The sequence below is a fragment of the Homo sapiens genome, chromosome 8, assembly GCF_000001405.40.
Source record: "Homo sapiens chromosome 8, GRCh38.p14 Primary Assembly".
NCBI classification, from domain to species: domain Eukaryota; kingdom Metazoa; phylum Chordata; class Mammalia; order Primates; family Hominidae; genus Homo; species Homo sapiens.
This window is the reverse complement of record NC_000008.11, coordinates 41,863,347-41,881,570: the sequence shown is the minus strand read 5'-3', so window position 1 is coordinate 41,881,570 and position 18,224 is coordinate 41,863,347. Positions and strand designations below refer to the sequence as shown.

The following is an 18,224-nucleotide window of genomic DNA, read 5'->3' as shown; positions in this document are numbered from 1 at the left end:
AGCTTGATGGGAATGTTATATACCAGTTCCCTTGACAGTAAGATAAAATAGCATCCCCACCTTGTACTAGCATCCAAACCCCCTGAGTACAGAAGGCATGTATTCCCGAAACAGAACCAATCCCATAGATACAGATACAGACAAAGACACACATAGACATAGATATAGATATAGACATAGACATAGATCTGTACATACCACACACCAGGGTATGGGCAGTGCCTTAGAATGGGAACATTAGGAACTAAAGCTGCTGGTCTTGACTCTGCCTCTCGGAAGTGGCTGAGTGACCTTGGGGAAATAACTGTGTGTCTCTGGGCCTCTGTTTTCTCACATGTAGAACAAAGAGCTTCTAGTCCAGCTTCTAGTCTGGACTAGACTAGAAGACACAGCCTCTTGGAAGGGACCTTGTGAATCTCACACCCCATCCCCTTCATGAGGAAACTGCCATCTGGAGAAAGGAAATGGCTTGTCCAGATCACAGAGCTATTTTTAGTGGCCAAGCAAGCACTAGAACCAGATCTCCAGGCCCAACTCTCTGTACTCTGGCAAGAAATCCCAGCCCTTATGAGCAATGGCTCTTGGAGCACAATATGCTGAGAGGAACTCTGAGAAGACAAGAGGGATGCTGTTCTTTTGTTCCACTTGGAAATGGCCCTTGGCCCTACCAAGTAAGGCAGCAAAGTGCAGAGCCTGCGATAATGGGAGGTGGCCATCTGCACTGCTGGTGCAGAGTGCTAAATTATTCAGGACCCACCAGGCGCCTCTGCCGGGGGAGAAGCCTGCCAGGGAGCTTGAGTTTGGATGCAGAAGCCTGAGCCTTCTCTGGGACCTGGTGCAAGGAAATGTGTCCTGGATAGATTATTCCAAACTGCTCCTCGTCCCAGTGCCCTAATTAGTGCTCTTTGTGTGCCTCGCGCAGCTCAGGTGTTTGCGGGGTTTGGTGGATGCCCACACCAGCCCCCCTGCAAAGAACTGGCCCTGGGGGCACATGCAGTATTGCAGGACATATCGGTGGGACAGGCCCTTAGTTCAAAGACAACCTACTCATCCTGCAAATGAGGAAACTGAGACCTGGGGTGAGGGCAGCTGCTTTCCCGGGGTTCACAGCTGAGCATTAAAGTCCAGAAGAAAAAAATCACTCCTGGAATGCCTTCCCCAACTTTATTAAACAGAAATAATTGTTCCCTCTTCCGTGTTCCATTAACACTGATAATCTCACTCATGGCTTTGCTTCAGAGATTGGCAAACTTTTACTGTGCAGGACCTGGCAGTAAATATTTCAGTCTCTGTTGCAAATACTCAGCTCCGCCGGCGGAGCGTGAAAGCAACCACAGGCAATACACAAACAAACGAGCATGGCCATATTCCAATAAAACTTTATTTATGGACACTGAAATTTGAATTTCATTTAATTTTCATGCATTACAAAATGTTTTTCTTCTTTCTCCTAACCACTTAAAAATGTAAAAATCATTCTCAGCTCCCGTGCTATGCAAAAAATGGGCAGCGGGCTAGACCTGGCCCTTGAGTACAGTTTGCCACCCCCTGGGTTAAATGCTTGTTGTTCTTGCTGGACTGCACAGAGGCAGCACCTTGGTTCCCTTTGCATTCCCACGACTCGTTGGTTGAATGAATGAATCTGGTAATTTGCACTAAATGCAGACACATGGAATAATCATTATTAACACCTTAAACAATCTTTTGAGAGAGGGAGGCAGAAGAGGCATTATTCCCCCTCTCTTATGGACAGGAGAACTGAGGCCATAGGACTGGTCTGTGAGAGGAGCCCTGGGGCTTCTGATTCCCACTCCAGGGGAGTGTTGCTTTGACCAAGGTCTGAGCGGGCTGCGCTGGTTGTTGGTCCTTCTCACTCGCCGGGGGAAGCTCCAATGAACCAGGCCAGCAGGACGGCTGGATGAAAGAGAATCTGTCCAGCGGCACCTCTTTCAGTTGTGGAAATAGGAACAATCTGGTGCGTGCCTGGGTAAAAGGCCTGTGGCAGAATTGTTTGGTCTCCTTCCTACATCTCTCTGGCATTGCACTCCTTGAATGAGAGGCAGCAGTGTCTGTTCTGTTGAGAGGGAATCGTTACACATAGCTAAAATTAGATGTTTTGTTTGAATTATGTTAATTTGACTTAATTGCTGGGGAATGTCAATGTTCTCGAGAAATCCAGGTGCTCTGGCAGGTCTTGGTGAATAATAGTAATCCCTTATATTGGTGTAATGCCTCCTGACCTAGATGCCACCTTCATTATCTCATTCGATCTCTCACAACAAACGCAGGAGGGCAGCAACCCCCGAGGAGGTGATCCCTGATTTTCTGGACTGGGAAGCTGGGGTCCCCACTGATTAACTTACATTCCCCAGGTCACGGCTCTCTAGAGGCAGAGCTGGGACAGGAACACATGTCTGATTTCTCTATGGCTTCTCTTCCACTGGGCTATATTTTAAACACATTGTCCTGCATTTTTTTTAATTTTTCAATTTTTATTTTTTATTTTTGAGGCTGAGTCTCACTGTGTCACCCAGGCTGGAGTGCAGTGGCGCAATCTCGGCTCACTGCAACTTCCACCTCCCAGGTTCAAGCGATTCTCCTGCCTCAGCCTCCCTGAGTAGCTGGGATTACAGGCGTCTACCACCATGCCTGGCTAATTTTTGTGTTTTTAGTAAAGATGGGGTTTCACCATGTTGGCCAGGCTGGTCTCAAACTCCTGACCTCAAGTGATCCGCCTGCCTCGGCCTCCCAAAGTGCTGAGATTATAGGCATGAACCACCACGCCTGGCCCCTCTTTTATTTTTTTGACATGTAGGCAAGGCTGGCTTTATCGGTGGACAACCTGTCCAGTTGCATGAGGTCCTGCCCTTAAAAGGGTCCTGTGCATGTTTCAATGCTCTGTTCTGTGTTAAAATTACTCATTACTTTTTAACGAGGGGTTCCACATTTTCATTTTGTCCTGGGCCATGCAAATTAAATAGCCAGTCCTGGCTGTAAAATCGTTTTCATGGGCTAGCACTTGTATTTTTCTATCCAATTAACCTTGAGTGCGATTTGATCTTGACCATGGCTTCTGGGATGTCCAGAGGAGCTTCTTTTTATAAACAGCTCCCCCTGAACCTGTCTGAAGGTGTAATTTCCATGTGGTTTCTGGTGAGGCCAGGTCAGCCGGCTACTCCTGTTCCTTCCACCTTTGCCTCTGGACTTAGTCCCTGTGCAGGCAGGGGATGATCCATATATCAGAGGTGAGCTTGAAGATGTAGGGGTGTGATCGTCCCCTGCCCAGGGTGGGGGCACCAGGCTGGATGCAGAGTAAACCTTCGGGTACTGTCTTCCCGGTAGGGTAGCTAGGAAGAGCCACCCCAACTCTCCAGAATTGGTGCAGACTCAATTCTCTATTAGTTTTGGTTATTGTTGCCAATGACATTTGGGATTGTTTGGTAAGTCGCATAATGGGTTTGAGAAGAGTGGGTGTCTGGTACCGCTGTGGACTCTGCCGCCTTCCAGAATGTTCATGCACATGCTTTCAGTTGACTGTTTTCCAGGAATTGCAATAGCCTAGTCACTGACCTTCTGCTGGGCGCTAGGCTGTGTGCCCAGCGTTCCTGCCCAGGTCCCAACCTCCTGTCCCTGTCCTCCCTCACACGGCCACAGCCCTACTCGCCTTAGCTCTGTTCCTCAGGCACGTCTACCTGGCTTCTGTCTTCAGGCCTTTGTGCTTCAAGCTGTCCCTGTCTTCTCTGCAGCCATGAACGAAGCTAGTCTACTCCTTTTTGTTGTCCTTAGCTCAGATGTCGCTTCCTCAGAGAGGACTGCCCAGACGACTGCTCTCCAGCGACCACTTCGCCCCCGCCTGGCTCCCACCCACCTGCTCTATCGCATCATTTTGTTTCATTTTCTTCACTATCTGAAATGGTCCTATTTATTTCTGTTTTATTGTCTGTCTCTCTCTTCCTCCACTAAAAAATAAATTCTGTGAGAGCAGTGGCTTTTTCTGTCTCCTAAACTGGATTTCCAAAATCTGGAGGAGTGCTTGGCACACAGTTGGTTCTCCATAAGTGTATATCCATCAAAATAATGGATCGGCACCACAGTCTTGCAGCTGGGGCACTGTGAGTGTCACTTCCTAGATGGTGTAGTGGAGACCCTGGAGGAATTCAGCAACTCGCCCAGGGTCTCAGCTGGAAAGGAGGGCTGTTGTCTGCATCTCCAACACACATCTCCCACCATCAGCAGCCTGCTGGCCACCATGAGCCTGCTCCTTTCCCCAGCCTGGAGCATAAGACTGGTAGTTAGGAGGCCATGGTCTGGACCAGGATGTGTGCTTCTCCAGCGGGTCCCACCCTTTTCACCTGCGCTGTGGGATGGTGATTTCTTTCCCAGGTCCCTTCTATGACAGTGTGGAAGTTCCATAACACATATTTTTAATTATTATTTTTTCTAATGACTGGGTCTCACTATGTGGCCCAGTCTGGTCTTGAACTGCCAGCCTCAAGCAATCCTCCCGCCTCGGCCTCCCAAAGCACTGGGATTACAGATGTGAGCCACTGTGCTCAGCCCATAAAGTCTTATTTATTTATTTATTTATTTTGAAGATGGTCACAGAAGTTATCCTGAGTAGCAAATTTGAAAATATGAGTTTTTCCATGAAATCCCTTTTGGCTTTACATTGATCAAATGGCCTTTATTAAAACGAACAAATTCTACCAAATCCATCTGATCCCCTCACACATGGTAAGAATACATGAGATAATGTCTGCAGAACTGCTCCAAAAAGTTAAAAGTGGTGCAGCCAGATGAGGGGTTACCATTCCCCAACAAACCTTTCATCTTCATCTCCCTGTCTTAATAAACATGACACGTGCGATTAGGATCGGGTCAGGGGATTTTAGGCATTCCCTTCCTTGTGCATTTTCCAGCCTTCAGGCTGGAAACCAGAGCCCTTTAGAGGTGTGAAGGACAGCGCGTACGTTTCCGACTTGGACAAGCCTGGCTGGGGTCGGCTAGGTATCACATACTGGCTGTGCGAACCTGGGACTACTCACTTAGCCTCGGCTTTCTTATCTGTAAGACAGGTCATCAGTTCCTCCTTGACCTCTCCATGTGCCTGTGAGGTTTCAAGGTTACCTTGAATGCGCCCCAGCCCCCAGGGGGCACGATCAGTGTCAGCCCCTCTCCGGGTGGGGCCTGTTCCGGGGCGAGGCGCCGCTGCTGAGTCGCGGCCAGAGAACCTGGGTGGGGACAAGGCCCGCTGGCCGAGGGGCTGCGCGACCGGGAGAGAGACGACCGGGCGGTCGGTGCCAGGGTGCCAGGGTGCCAGGGTGCCGCGGCTGGAGCGCAGGCAGCGCCCCACGTGCTGGTGAGGCCAGACAGGGCCGTCCCCGCGCCCGCCTGGGGAGCGCCGCCTCGGGAGCCCAGCGAGGGAGGGCGGCCGCCGCTCCGAGCTCTAGGACAAGGAAGTCGGTTTCTATATTTGGGCAGGAGGCGTGAGGCGAGGGGATTGGTGGAAGCTCCTGCCCTGCCGGTTGCGGGCCGCGAACCTGCGAGGTCGCGGGACGTGCGCGCGCGGGGCCAGGCGCGGGTGTGTGCGCGCGGGCAGGTGTGCGAGTGTGCGCCCGGGCGCGCGCCGGCCCCTCTGGGGAGCCTCGGATGCAGCCGGAGAAATGAAGGCAAAGTGGGTGTGCTCAGGTTCCTTTCTCGTGCCGGCTGCTTCCCAGTCCCTGCGCCGTGTAACACTAGATCATCTACAAAACACTGCCAAGAGGAAAAAAGCAAGATGTGGCTGTCCGGGGAAAAATGGCGCCCACAGTGCAGTGGTGTTAAGTGGGAGTTTGTCCTCCCCCTGCAAAGCGTGTTCTTCTACGAGCAGCAAGGAGGCTTCCCAGCTGCTTGGGAAGAGGGACCGGCTAACCCAGATTCATTCCATCATCACTCACGCATCCCTGGCACAGGAGGAGAAACGAATGGCCATGGGAAGCAGCCACTTAATACTGCACAGATGTGCCTGTCTGCCGAGCCTTGGTATTGGAGTTGGGCTGCCCACTGGGAAGAGCCAGTAGTTTGGAGTTGGATGGATCTAGGGTCAAGCCCAGGTTCCATCAGGTATCACCTGGGAGAGTCCCTTGTAGCTCCTCTTGGCAGGCCGGTGGTGACTTTCTCAAGAACTTGTGGAGGCCCAGTGTTGGGTATACCCGCCTCCATCCATGCTGACCCATTCTTTGCACTGATCCCCTGCCTCCTCCTGCCTCCAGTTCTTCAACATGCCTGCTGCTGCCAGCCTCTAAACTGGGACCTGGTGCTGCTGGCTCCCGGTGCCAAGAAGCTGCAGAGTCTTTAGGGTCTCCTGTGGGGGACAAGAGGTGCAGGAGCCCCCGCATCTGGGTGACCAGGACTTGGAGGAACAGGACAGGAGGGCTTGGAGTTCAGGAAGAGAAAGGGCAGGAAGAGGGGAACCCGGTCATCCCGTACCCTTTCCAGCTCAGCTCTGCTCCCTCCCCTCTCCCATCCCAGCCCCATATATGGACCGAGACAGGTGGTCCTGCTGGGCCCGTCCTCTCTGGACCACCACAGACTGCCACCCAGTCTCTCCTGAGGGTGCTGCAGCGGGGACAGCACATTTTGTTCCATAGTCAGACCGTGGGGTTATATTGCAAGTGCCAGGAGGAGTTGCTCAGTGGAGGGTCAGTCGTGATGGTGGAAATGACCTTGGGTATTTTTCCAACTTTGGAATGGGAAGATCAAAAGCAGGAACTCACTGAGAGTCAAAGAATGACCATGAAGGAGAAGCAGTGGGAGACAAGGAGGCCAGAACCCAGAAAGCACAATTCTCAGTTGTCATGTTTTTTCTTAGCCAGTGCTGAAGAGCTGGGCTGCTGTGACAGAGGCAGACTAGGGCTTTCCTAGTGACAGATCAGCTAGGGCCACAAGGACTCCGGTCACCTCCTTGTTAGCACACCTTGTCTGGAGGAAGACAGCAAGATGGAATGAACTCATCTCCACCCCATGCCCTGCTCTCCGACACACTCTGAAAGAAGTGGATGCTTACCTGTCATTGCAGGGCCTGCGGGGCGGGGATGGGGTGGAGGAGGTTGGGGGCTGCGGGCAGGCGACCCGAAAGTGCAGCCAAGACTTTAAGAAAAGAGTGCTTTGCTAAATGGTTCTCACTCCCAACTCACTGCCTTTTTCCTGGGCCCAGTGCAACTTTTCAAAATTCAATTATGATGGATATGAGAAAAAAATATAAGATCTGAAATCGAGGCCTTTCAGATTAGTGGCTGTGGGCCTTGCTCTGAAGGCGGCTATAGGAGGCTCTATTTTTGTTGTAGCTGCAGTCCAACAAGGGTGTCCCTGAGACAGTTCAGGGTGCAGGCACCATACCTGGTCCATCCCTAAGTGCGGCTGCCCTACTCCCTACCTACCTGCGGGACATCCAAACATCTGAACTGTTGCCTTTCAAGGCCCCAGCCTTCCCTGTTGTGTGTCCGCAGGTCTCTTAGTACTTAGGAGCCCGTGTGTTTGTGTCTGTGTGTGCATGTGTGCTTGTGTGTGTACCTGTGTGCATGCTTGTGTGTGCCTGCATGTGTGCATTGTGTGTGCATGTGCGTTTGTGTGTGTAGGGGGAGGGTGTTGGTTTGAGCTTGGCTGGGTCTGTTTGGCTCCTGGAGTAACTTGTCCAGCCAAGGCCACAGGTTTGCCAGCCTTGGTTCAACGTATAAGGCAGTCATGCTGGTGACCAGGTTTCCCCAACAAAGGCACAAGGTGCTCAGGGTAGCGAAGCTGGGGCTGCAGCATCCAAGGTCTCTGAGGTCCAGTGCTGTGAAGCCGGCAAGGCCCAGGCTCCACTCCACAGCTGTGCAATATGGCAGGAGCCCCTGCTGACCCCTGAAAATACCAGTGAGCCTTAGCCTGACACGTGCCAGCTTACAGAGGGCTTGGCTCTGGTCTGTGCTGTTTAATTTTATCCTTATGGAGGCATCGTGATTCCAGTGAGGATTTGGACTAGCCTAGCTTGGTTGCAACTCCTGGCTCCACCACTTGTAACCACAGCCTGGTTAACCCTTTTCAGTCTCAGTTTCTTGTCTGCAAAATGGGGATAAGATTAATAATAGGGTGACTTGGAGGCTTATTGTGAGGATTAAATGAGATTGTGAATGGGATGTGCCTGTTGGAACTCATTCACCAATGCTAACATCACCATCTTCAGTGTGCAAGTGAGGAAAGTGAGGCCTGGGAAGGAGACATCCCTAAGAGAAAGCGGCACTGTCAGGATGTGATGGACCAAATATGACTTCAAAACCATTCTTATGGGGAGGTCCCCAAAACACAGAGATAATGACATCGCATGAAGGTTCGAGGCAATCGGGAAGAAAATGTAGTCACTTTATGTAGTTTCTTTATAGACTAAATCCATCAAATCTTTTAAATAGAATAGTGACTTTTTTCTTTTTTGCAAAGAAAATAAACGGTAATGGGGAGAGAGCTCAGGTGGAATGAGCAGGAGACGAGAACGGCTCGTTCAGCATGGCTGGCTTCAGCCTTCCCCTCTGCAGCGTGCCCACAGGAGAGACTTCTTTTCCGTTGAAGAGGATTGAGGATTTAATATTGTGTTTTTATAAATTATGTTAGCCATTGTTCTGCCTCAAAATCTCTGCCTTTGTCAACAGAGACCTGGACCCTACAGACTCCCCAGTGGGAAGCCAGATGTGGGGTGGCTCGCGAGGGCGGCTGTGCTCTGAGGCTTTGGGTGTGGTTGGAAGGGTCCCCAGCAGACCTCCTACAGGTCACTCCAGGGAGAGACCTGGGCAGGCCTCTGTCTTTCCAAGGTGTTACTGAGTCTTTCTGAAGGTATCTCCTCTTAGCTTGTTTTAAACCTTAAGGTGTAATCCAGGCTGAGAATTGTAAGGTGAGCACCCCCTACTCACCGATTGGGGCACATCCTAGGGAAGCTGGCAATGCATCTGCGGCTGGACGCGCTCCCCACGGCTCCAAGGCCTCTGACATGGGGCTTCTGCCCTCACTGCCACCTTCACTGGGCATGACCTTCCAGAAATGTGGCTTAGTTAGTAAGGAGAAGCTGGGGGTCTGGAATTGGGGCTAGATTCGAACCCCGGCTTCCACTGCACTGCTTCTGTGGCTCCTGGCACTCTTTGGACTCTGAAGTGAGGAAAGAGCAGCACTGGGGGATTTAATGGGATAGCTGCACAGAGGCCTCGCCTTAGGGCCCGGCAGGAAGTGGAGCACATCCAGCCCTGGGGTGGGCGGCTGGACAGAGGGTGCTGTGTACGCTCACTGGGACTCAGTCCCCTTACCTGTGGGGACGCTGCTCTTCGGCTGTAGTTAAGCTCCACTTGGGAGCTGAGGCCTACAGGGGGTCGGCTCCTCTCCTCTGCACAAGATGAGAAGTCATCTTGCAGCACCCTTTTGGAGGAAGCGTTTTGTGTGACTAAGACCACGAATCAGCTTGGGCAATGCTGGCTCGTCTGTTTCTGAAATATTAAACACTCTCTGAAGTGGGTTAGACTGAGCAAAGTGAGGACAGCAGCTAATAAATAATAAACTCATCCAGGGCTGCTGCGGCCTTGTCATCTGGAGTGTGGGTGCCTGGCCCGGACCCTCCCTTCCCCCATCCCGGGGGCTCCATTCCAGCCAAGATCCCTGGGAGGGGCTTTCAGGTCTGCTTGTGCTGGGTGGGTTCAGAGCAAGCAAGCCCTTGCCCTCTGCTCTGCAGCAGCTACCACTGCTGTGGAATTTCAAGTATTTCACACGCAGGTTTTCTATCAGAGCTGAGATGCATGGCGTCTTAGCTTGCTAGGGCTGGCATAACAAAGTCCCACAGACTGGGTGCCTTGACCAGCAGACATTTATTGTCTCCCTCTCATGGAGGCTGGAAGCCCAAGAACAAGGTGTCAGCAGGGTCGGCTCCTTTGGTGGACTGTGGGAGAGCACATGTCCAGGCCCCTCTCCTGGCTCCTGGTGGTCTGTGGGCAATCTTTTGCACTTCTTGGCTGGTGGAAACATCGCCCCCCGATCTTCTTCGTATGGTGCTCTCCCTGCATCTGCCTCTGTGTCTGCATTTCCCCTTTTTATAAAGACACCATAGGCCGGACGTGGTGGCTCACATCTGCAATCCTGGCACTTTGGAAGGCTGAGATGGGAGGATGGCTTGAACCCAGGAGTTTGACGCTGCAGTGAGCTGTGATCATGCTGCTGCCCTCCAGCCTGGGTGACACAGCGACCCTGTCTCTAAAACATAAATAAACAGCATCTACTATAGCTCCAGCAGCTGCCTCGATTCTGCGGAGGTTAGGAGGCCCATTGGTAGCCCCACCCTTCAGCAGCTTCCAGTCAGTGGGAGAGAGAAGATGCAGCCTCATAAATGCGTCAGAGAACAATGCAGGGGCGATGGGAAGGCACCCTGGACCTGTGCAGTGTTCCCTCCAGAAGCTCCTGGGGTGTGGGTCATAGTAGCAGAGGCCTCTTAGAGTCAAAGGTGTGGCCCGTGAGGGGCAGATAGACATGCTCCATGGGACCCGGAGGCTGCAGAGAGGGCCAGCCCTGAGGAAAGGGCTTGCTGGAGCATGAGTTGAGGTTGTTGAGAGAACAGGATGGGAGGTGGGCAGACAGTCCCCGTGCCCATTCGAGAGCCAGGAGGGGTGGGGAGCAGCTCATCCTTGATTCCAGAAGGAGTGTTCGCCAAGCAGAGGCTCCGACCCATGACCCCCAGCAGCACCACGTGTCCACATGCTCCTGTGCCAAGCGGAGCCCAGGTGCCATGGCCAGAGTGCCTCCAACAAGGACAAAACCTTGGTCAGCTAAAGCCAGGGACTCGGCTAACGTGTGTGCCGGGCCCACCCTTTCTGCCAGCCTCTTCCAGCTCAGCTTTGAGTGGGCTAACATTTATTTTGTTGGCCTCCCTTGGCCCATCATCCAGCAAATGTTCCCTCACGCCGGCCACACGTTCTCAGACCTCTGGCAGCTTTGCCCAGTAACCTCACATTTCTCATACAGCTCCTTCCGTGATCCATGGGGCTAGAGCTTAGAGAGTCCCCTTGATATTGTGGGGTGAAACATCCCCAGTCACAGGGGCTGAGGCTCAGGGAGTGCTTTAGGATGGAGGGACGCTCATGTCCCTGGAACCTTGCTTGGGGTGTGAGTCATGAGTAGAGCTCAGAGCATGTCGTCTGAATGAATGAACACGAGTGAATGATGGAGAAGGTGACTCGGCCTTGTTTTCAGAAGGGACTGAGGGTGGACTTGCATAAAAAGACTGTGCCCATTGAAACCTCTTTTTTTTTTTAAGCAAAAACTTAGGCTGGTCATGCTTATCCTCCTCACCTTCACATGCATAATCTCGGGCATTTGGTAAAGACTGGCGTTCTCTGCTGGATCTCTCAGCCTCCTCCTCATTTCATTTCATTCGGGGCACAGAGGTGGGGCCCTCTGTTGGTAGGGCTGTTGGTGGTGTTACTTGCAGAGGGGTCCTTGAACCGCCTGAATCCCTAAAATGGTTTTAGGCCTCTAGGGCACTGGTTAAAATGTCAGAGCCTGCCCTCTCAGCCTGCTGAATTGGATTCTCCAGGGGTAGGACTCAAGAATCTGTATCTTAGATCCTTTCTTCTTGGGATCTTCTTAGTAAGTCATCTGTGCACTAAAGTTTGAGACTTATTGCACTCAGAGTCCAACATTATTGCAAAATAATTGAGCTTTTGGATGTGTAACAATATTGAAAATATAAGCAAGCCCCAGTTACCATTTTGACTGAACATCAGCTTTTCCTATAACCTGGGTCAGCAAATTGCAGTCTGGTGTCAGCTGACGTGGCCTATGGAGCATGCGGATGTCCAGAAGCACCCCCAGGCCTCGGCAGGCACAGGCCTTTGTGAGTTCTCACAGTGTGCTTTTCCTACAAGGCAGCATTTTTCAGCACAGTCCTGGTCCTGGTCTTCCCTGGTCAGTGTTCAAGGCCCAGGTTTTCCTTTCTTTTTTTTAAATTTTAGATGGTCTCGCTCTGTCACCCAGGCTGGAATGCAGTGGTACGATCATGGCTCACTGCAGCCTCTGCCTCCCAGGCTCAAGCTGTCCTCCTGCCTCAGCCTCCCAAGTACCTGGGACAACAGGCGAGAGCCACCACGCCAGGCTAATTTTCAGGTCCCATCTTTTAAAATGCAGCCTCTGGGTTGTGCCTCAGAATGACTGAATTAAGATCTCAGAGGATGGGGTCCTCAAATCTGCATTTTTAAGCAAGATCCCTGATGATTCTTCTGTCCAGTGAAGTTCAAGGAGCACTCTCTTCCCTGCCTGAGACCCTGAGGAGGGCAACGGGCTCCTGCCAGTCCTGAGTCAGAACATCAGAGATGGAAAGGAAGGGACCATCGGGTCCAACCACGCAGTTTTAGGGATTAGGGACAATTCGTCTTCTGACACCTCCCACTCTGGATTTTGATCTTTTCCTCCTTTCTTAGCCCAGAAAGAGTCACCTAGAGAAGAAGACCATTGTTTATTGAGTTTCTCATCAGAATCAGGGCTGTGCTTTGCTTTCCTCATCCCATTTAATCTTGCCAACGAATAGGAAATGGTTTTACGTAAATATTCCCCTTTATGATCAGGACATGCTTTAGCTGGGTGCTGGAACCCTGGGTGTTCGCATTCCTTCTCCCCGTCTGAGCCTCATCTTTTTCATTCCCTTTGCTTTTGTTAAATAGGCCTTGGGTGCAGTGTCTCCCATCCGAAAGTTCGAGTGTCTGTTATAAAATTTGTTCCAGGAACTTTGCTCTCTGCACGCCCCTCTGAAAATTTCTAAGCTCTTTTAAAAAAGATTTTGAAGGGAATAGTTTTGATGCAGTGATTCCTCATCCCAGGCTTTAGTGAGCTTTGTAAATAATGTATCAGACCAGGGTCGATAGCTTATGGCACATGATTTAAGATTCCTACCAGAAGATCTGCTGGAAGAGGTTCCCGGGCACATTTCTTAATTATTCACAAGATATATAAAGTTATAAATCATTTACAAAATGAGAATAAATGCCGTGAACATTTCTGATGAGATTTCGTACATTGTCTGGAAGCTGCATTTAGGCCTTGGACTTTTAAAAGGTCTCTGAGAGGACAAACCACGCCTGAATAATTGCTCATCATCTTGGTGCAGTGGTTCTGAACTGGGAATGGTTTTGCCCTTCCCCACCGCCCCAGGGGACATTTGGCAAACTCTAGAAACATGTAAGGTATCATAATTGGGAGGAAGGGTGCAACCAGCACCTAGTAGGTAGAGGCCAGAGATACCGAACACCCTTCAATTTGCAGGATGGCCCCCTACAGCAAGGAATTATGTGGCCCCAAATGGCCCCAATAGTGCTGAGGTTGAGAAACCCTGTCTTAATACTGTTATCATGCTTTTATCATTAAAACCTGCTTCAGGCTGGGTACAATGGCTCATGCCTGTAATTCCAGCACTTCGGGAGGCCAAGGCTGGTGGATCACCTGAAGTCAGGAGTCCAAGACCAGCTTGGCCAACATGGTGAAACCCAGCCTTTACTAAAAATACAAAAATTAGCTGGGTTGGTGGCAGGCGCCTGTAATCCCAGCTACTTGGGAGGCTGAGGCACGAGAATCGCTTGAACCTGGGAGGTGGAGGTTGCAGTGAGCTGAGATTGCACCGCTGTACTCCAGCCTGGACGACAGAGAGAGAATCTGTCTCAAAACAAACAAACAAACACCTGCTTTAGAAATATTATTTAACTGTGCAAAAATATTTGCAGAGCTTTGACTGTGTGCCTTGTGCTGTGCTAGGTATTGGGGATACAGAGATGAGGAACACTGTCATTTCAGTGGGGGAGACAGCTGACAGCTTAGAGGGGTGATGGGGAAGAAACCCAAGCCATGACTTGATGGAGATGTGTGATCTGCTCAAGCAAAAAGGAGGGTATCACCTAGCCTGATGGTGTGTGTGTGGCATGGGTGCTGCCGGGTGGAAGGATGTGGTGGGCAGAGGGAATGGCATGGGAAAAGGCCTGCAGGGAACAGGGCTTGACTCTTGAGCTCTGGGAGTCATTTGCTGTGGCTGGAGTGGACATCACTTGGGGCTGTTATCAGGTCCAGGACCCTTCTGTGCAGAAGCTTCATTTCTTAGGCATTTTAAGAGATTTTGTGCATTTTAGGAGATTTGTATTATTTTGGTATTAACCAGGCACTGTGAGAAGCAGGGCATGAGCATCTTTGGCTCATGAGTGTCTTGTTTGAGAGCTGATGTTGCCTCCTTTTGCAGAACTTTGCATCCGCCTCTCAGTTTCACCCCTTCCACTCTGAAACAAGCCCATCACAAGACGAGAGGAAAAGCGGCATCATCAGAGATTGGGGTGCTGGACTGACACTCATCCTTCTTGGGGTCTTGTCCTGAGAGGACTCTTTCTAGGGCCTCCTACTGGAGTCCTAGCAACTTGCACCTTCGCTGCTTCTCCCAGCGTTGGGGTCTGTACCTCCCCACACTAAGAACCAACTGGTCAGATGGATGTAAAATTTATACTAGGGTAGATGGAACACTGTAGGGAGGTTCCTCAAAAAATTAAAAATAGAATCACCATATGATCCAGCAATTCCATTTCTGGGTATATATCCAAAGGAATTGAAAGCAGGGACCCAAACAGATATTTGTACACCCATGTTCGCTGCAGACTTATTAACAACAGCCAAAAGGTGGAAGCAATCCAAGTGTCCATTGATGGGTGAGTGGATAAAGAAAATGCAGCGTATACATACCATGGAGTGTTATTCAGCCTTAAATAGCAGGAAGGACACTGCTACACCTGCCACATGGGTGAACCTTGAGGACGATGTGCTGAGTGAAATAAGCCAGTCACAAAAGGACAAACTCTGTACGATTCCTAGAGTAGTGAAATGCACAGAGACAGAAAGTAGAACAGTGATTTCCAGTGGGAGAAAGCAATGGGAAGTTAGTGTTTAAAGGGTACAGAGTTTCACTTTGCAAGATGAAAAGAGTTCTGTGGCTGGATGGTGGTAATGGTAGCACAGCAATGTGAATGTACTTAATGTCCCTGAACCGTACACTTAAAAATGGTTAAGGCATCCAGGCACAGTGGCTCACGCCTGTCATCTCAGCACTTTGGGAGGCCAAGGCAGGAGGATTACTTGAGGCCAGGAATTCAAGACCAGCCTGGGCAACACAGTGGGACCCTGTCTCTACAAAAAATAAAAAATAAAATCAGCCAGGTTTGGTGGTGTACACCTGTGGTCTCAGCTACCCGGGAAGTCGAGATAGGAGAATCGCTTGAGCCCAGGTGATCAAGGCCGCAATGAGCTGTGATCACGCCATTGCACTTCAGCATGGGTAACAGAGTAAGACCCTGTCCCTGTAACCACCACCCACTCCAAAAAAAGAAAGAAAATTACCTTTGGGAAAGGGTGAAGGCATGATATCCTAAGAGAAAAGAGGAAGCAAGTTCTCCCTGGTGGCCCCAAGAGAAGGGAGGGCAGGCTCCATACGTCCCCACTGAAGGGTATGTGCATAGTTCCTCTAGGGTCTGGCGGAGGCCAGTGTCATGGTGGAGAGGCGAGAGTTGGACATGGAGCTCTGGGTTAGCAGGGGCACTGCAGACCCATTGAGTGTGGAATGCATTGGAGTGGCACTGTCACATTCATACCTTGGAGAGATTTTCTGAGATTACTGTGGATAGTGGCTTTGAAGACTGGTGCAGGGATAGGGGAGAGAGAGAGAGTGGTGATGAGGGGATGGAGGCGATTAGGAGGCGAGTCCTGGGGGAAAATCAGGAAAGCAGTGGGAGGAGGATGGGAAGAAGCGGACTGAACCTTCCAGAGGCCCTACCTGGGACTGCTGGGGGGAGGAGGGAGAGGGAAGAATCTAGGCTGACTCCCAGGTCCTGGTGAGGCTGGCTGAGTGCATGGTGGCATGTGCATTGTGTGGAAAGGAGGGGAGAGAATCAGAGGAGGGGAGGGAGTTAGCAGCTCCAATTCACACGTGTGCAGCTTCAGGTGCCACAGGGCCATCTGCCCTGAGCCAGTGGGACCCGTGAATTTGGAGGAGGGCTGGGCTGGAGATGCAGATCTGGGAGGCCTCGGAGCACAGAGTGGGTGTGAGGAAGCCATTCCTTCCTCACCCACACAGTATCTACTGAGCCCCAGCTGTGAGTTCAGTCCTGTGTTAGGCATGGTGGGCACCCACATGTTCATTGAGCTGTGTGTTCATCTGAGAGCTGCTGAGTCTCCTGTGGGAGCCGGACACCTTGCTAGGAACAGAAATGGGAGGAAGGCCCGGCTCAGCAAATGCAGTTCCTGAAAATGTGCTGCTTCAAGGAGACCATGAGCTTTAAACACTTGTTTCAAGTCCCTCCTCAGCCGTGTGCTCATGAATCCCAATTCGCGAGATGGGTGAGTCAGTGGGAGCTCATGGACCCCAAGCTCTTGGAGCCCTTGGGTGGCCAGGGAGGCCTCAGCTCAGAGGGTGTGTGCAGCGCCACACACTGGATGCTCGCAGACCCTACCACCTTGCGACTGGTAGGAATGGGGGTGATCCCCTTCTGGAGCCTCAAGGCTTCTGGAAGGGGTTGCCGTGTTTGTGGCTGGTCCCCTCTTGCCATGTGTGATCTGGTTGGTCAGTGCTCTGAGCCTGAGACAGACCTCCCCTGAGAGGAGAAGCTGAGTTGTTTGGGCTGTGAAATGCTTATGAAGATATGCTTTCTAAACATCCAGGTGTTTGGCTTCATGTGGACATGGCTTTGGTCAGGGAGCCGAGGGAGGGGCGATCAGTTTCTTCGGTTCTGGATGCTCCGCATACCCACTCAGCCGTGGTTCCATGAGTGACGACGGTTAGGTTGGTAAGGGGTCTGAATTATCCTTTCCCCGTCTGCCTCACCCTCTAAGCACTCATCTCTCTGCAGGGCTTAATTTCCCTCCAATTCTTCCATTTATTTTATTTATGATGCAGTAACTGGCAGAAGCAGCTGTGGTTTGCTGTTGTTTACAAGGAAGCCGAGTTTGGTTACCAGTCAGTAAATTCTGCGCTATCAGTTGAGGGGATCTCATGTGCAAGGAGGAGCCAGGGATGAGGGAGAGTGGGGAGGACTCAGCACGCGGCCAGCAGCTCTCGTGGTGGGCAGGAGGTGCACTCACAGGCTGGCTCGCCTCTGCTCAGGGGATTGTCCACATCCCACCGGCCAATCAAAAGAGTCTCCCAGGCATTTAAATAAAGAAACATTCTTATAGAGTTTTCACATATAACCCAATGGGAGAAATAATTTTCCATTTGATGTGGCCTCTTGGAGGAAATGGTACCCTTTTTTTTTTTTTTTTTTGAGACAGAGTCTCACTCTGTCACCCAGGCTGGAGTGCAGTGGCGTGATCTCGGCTCACTACAAGCTCCACCTCCCAGGTTCATGCCATTCTTCTGCCTCAGCCTCCTGAGTAGCTAGGACTACAGGCACCTGCCGCCATGCCTGGCTAATTTTTTGTATTTTTAGTAGAGACGGGGTTTCACCGTGCTAGCCAGGATGCTCTGGATCTCGATCTCCTGACCTCGTGATCCACCCGCCTCGGCCTCCCAAAGTGCTGGGATTACAGGTGTGAGCCACCATGCCCGGCCAGTGGTACCCTTGAATTAACAAAAGCGCAGAACGTGCAGCAGCCTCATTCATTGCCCCTGTTTCATAGAATAAGAACCCACAAACTGGCCCTTAGAGCATGGTAAGCCCCTGGATGCGTGGCAACTGCCTGAAAGAAACCACATTCGCTATTGTGGGAGGTAGGGGAGCCTCTGTTCCCGGCCCCAGCACAGAACCTCTTTCAACTTGTATGACATTAGTGAGACAGCTTTCTCGGCCTCAGTTTCTCCCTCTGCAAAATGGGATTCATAATACCTCACCAGCAAGGGTGATGTGCAGAAGGTTTATCCACCAACCAGCTTAGGCTTTAACCAACCCAAAGCAACAATGCTAGAGTTTATTGTATACTACTAATAAGTGAGAAAGTAAGTTACCAAGCATATGGCTTCATTTTAGCCAGAAAATATTTACATGCCAAAGATGCCTAGCAAGACAACAGCCAAGGTACACACAGTTTTGAAATTACCTTTAGCTGGTGAGATTATGGTGATTTTCCTTTTATTTTTCTCTGTTGAATGTGCCTTCTAATTTCTCTATAATGAAAATGAATTTCCTTATAATACACTTTTTTTCTTTTTTTTTAATGAGATGGAGTCT

At 50.9% G+C, this 18,224-nt stretch overlaps 1 protein-coding gene across 1 annotated transcript in view, besides 1 other annotated feature; it reads left to right on the top strand.

The window, feature by feature from the left end:
• ANK1 (ankyrin 1) overlaps nucleotides 1–18,224 on the top strand; it is a 243,517-nt gene that overhangs the window by 15,171 nt on the left and 210,122 nt on the right. The gene's annotated exons all lie outside the window — the stretch shown is intronic.
• Nucleotides 4,846–5,058: a silencer, noted in NCBI's record as "fragment chr8:41734031-41734243 (GRCh37/hg19 assembly coordinates)". NCBI's record gives its function as "represses an EF-1alpha promoter that drives an FKBP-Casp9 reporter gene in an ReSE screen in HepG2 liver carcinoma cells {active_cell/tissue: HepG2}" and the evidence as "EXISTENCE:reporter gene assay evidence [ECO:0000049][PMID:32094911]".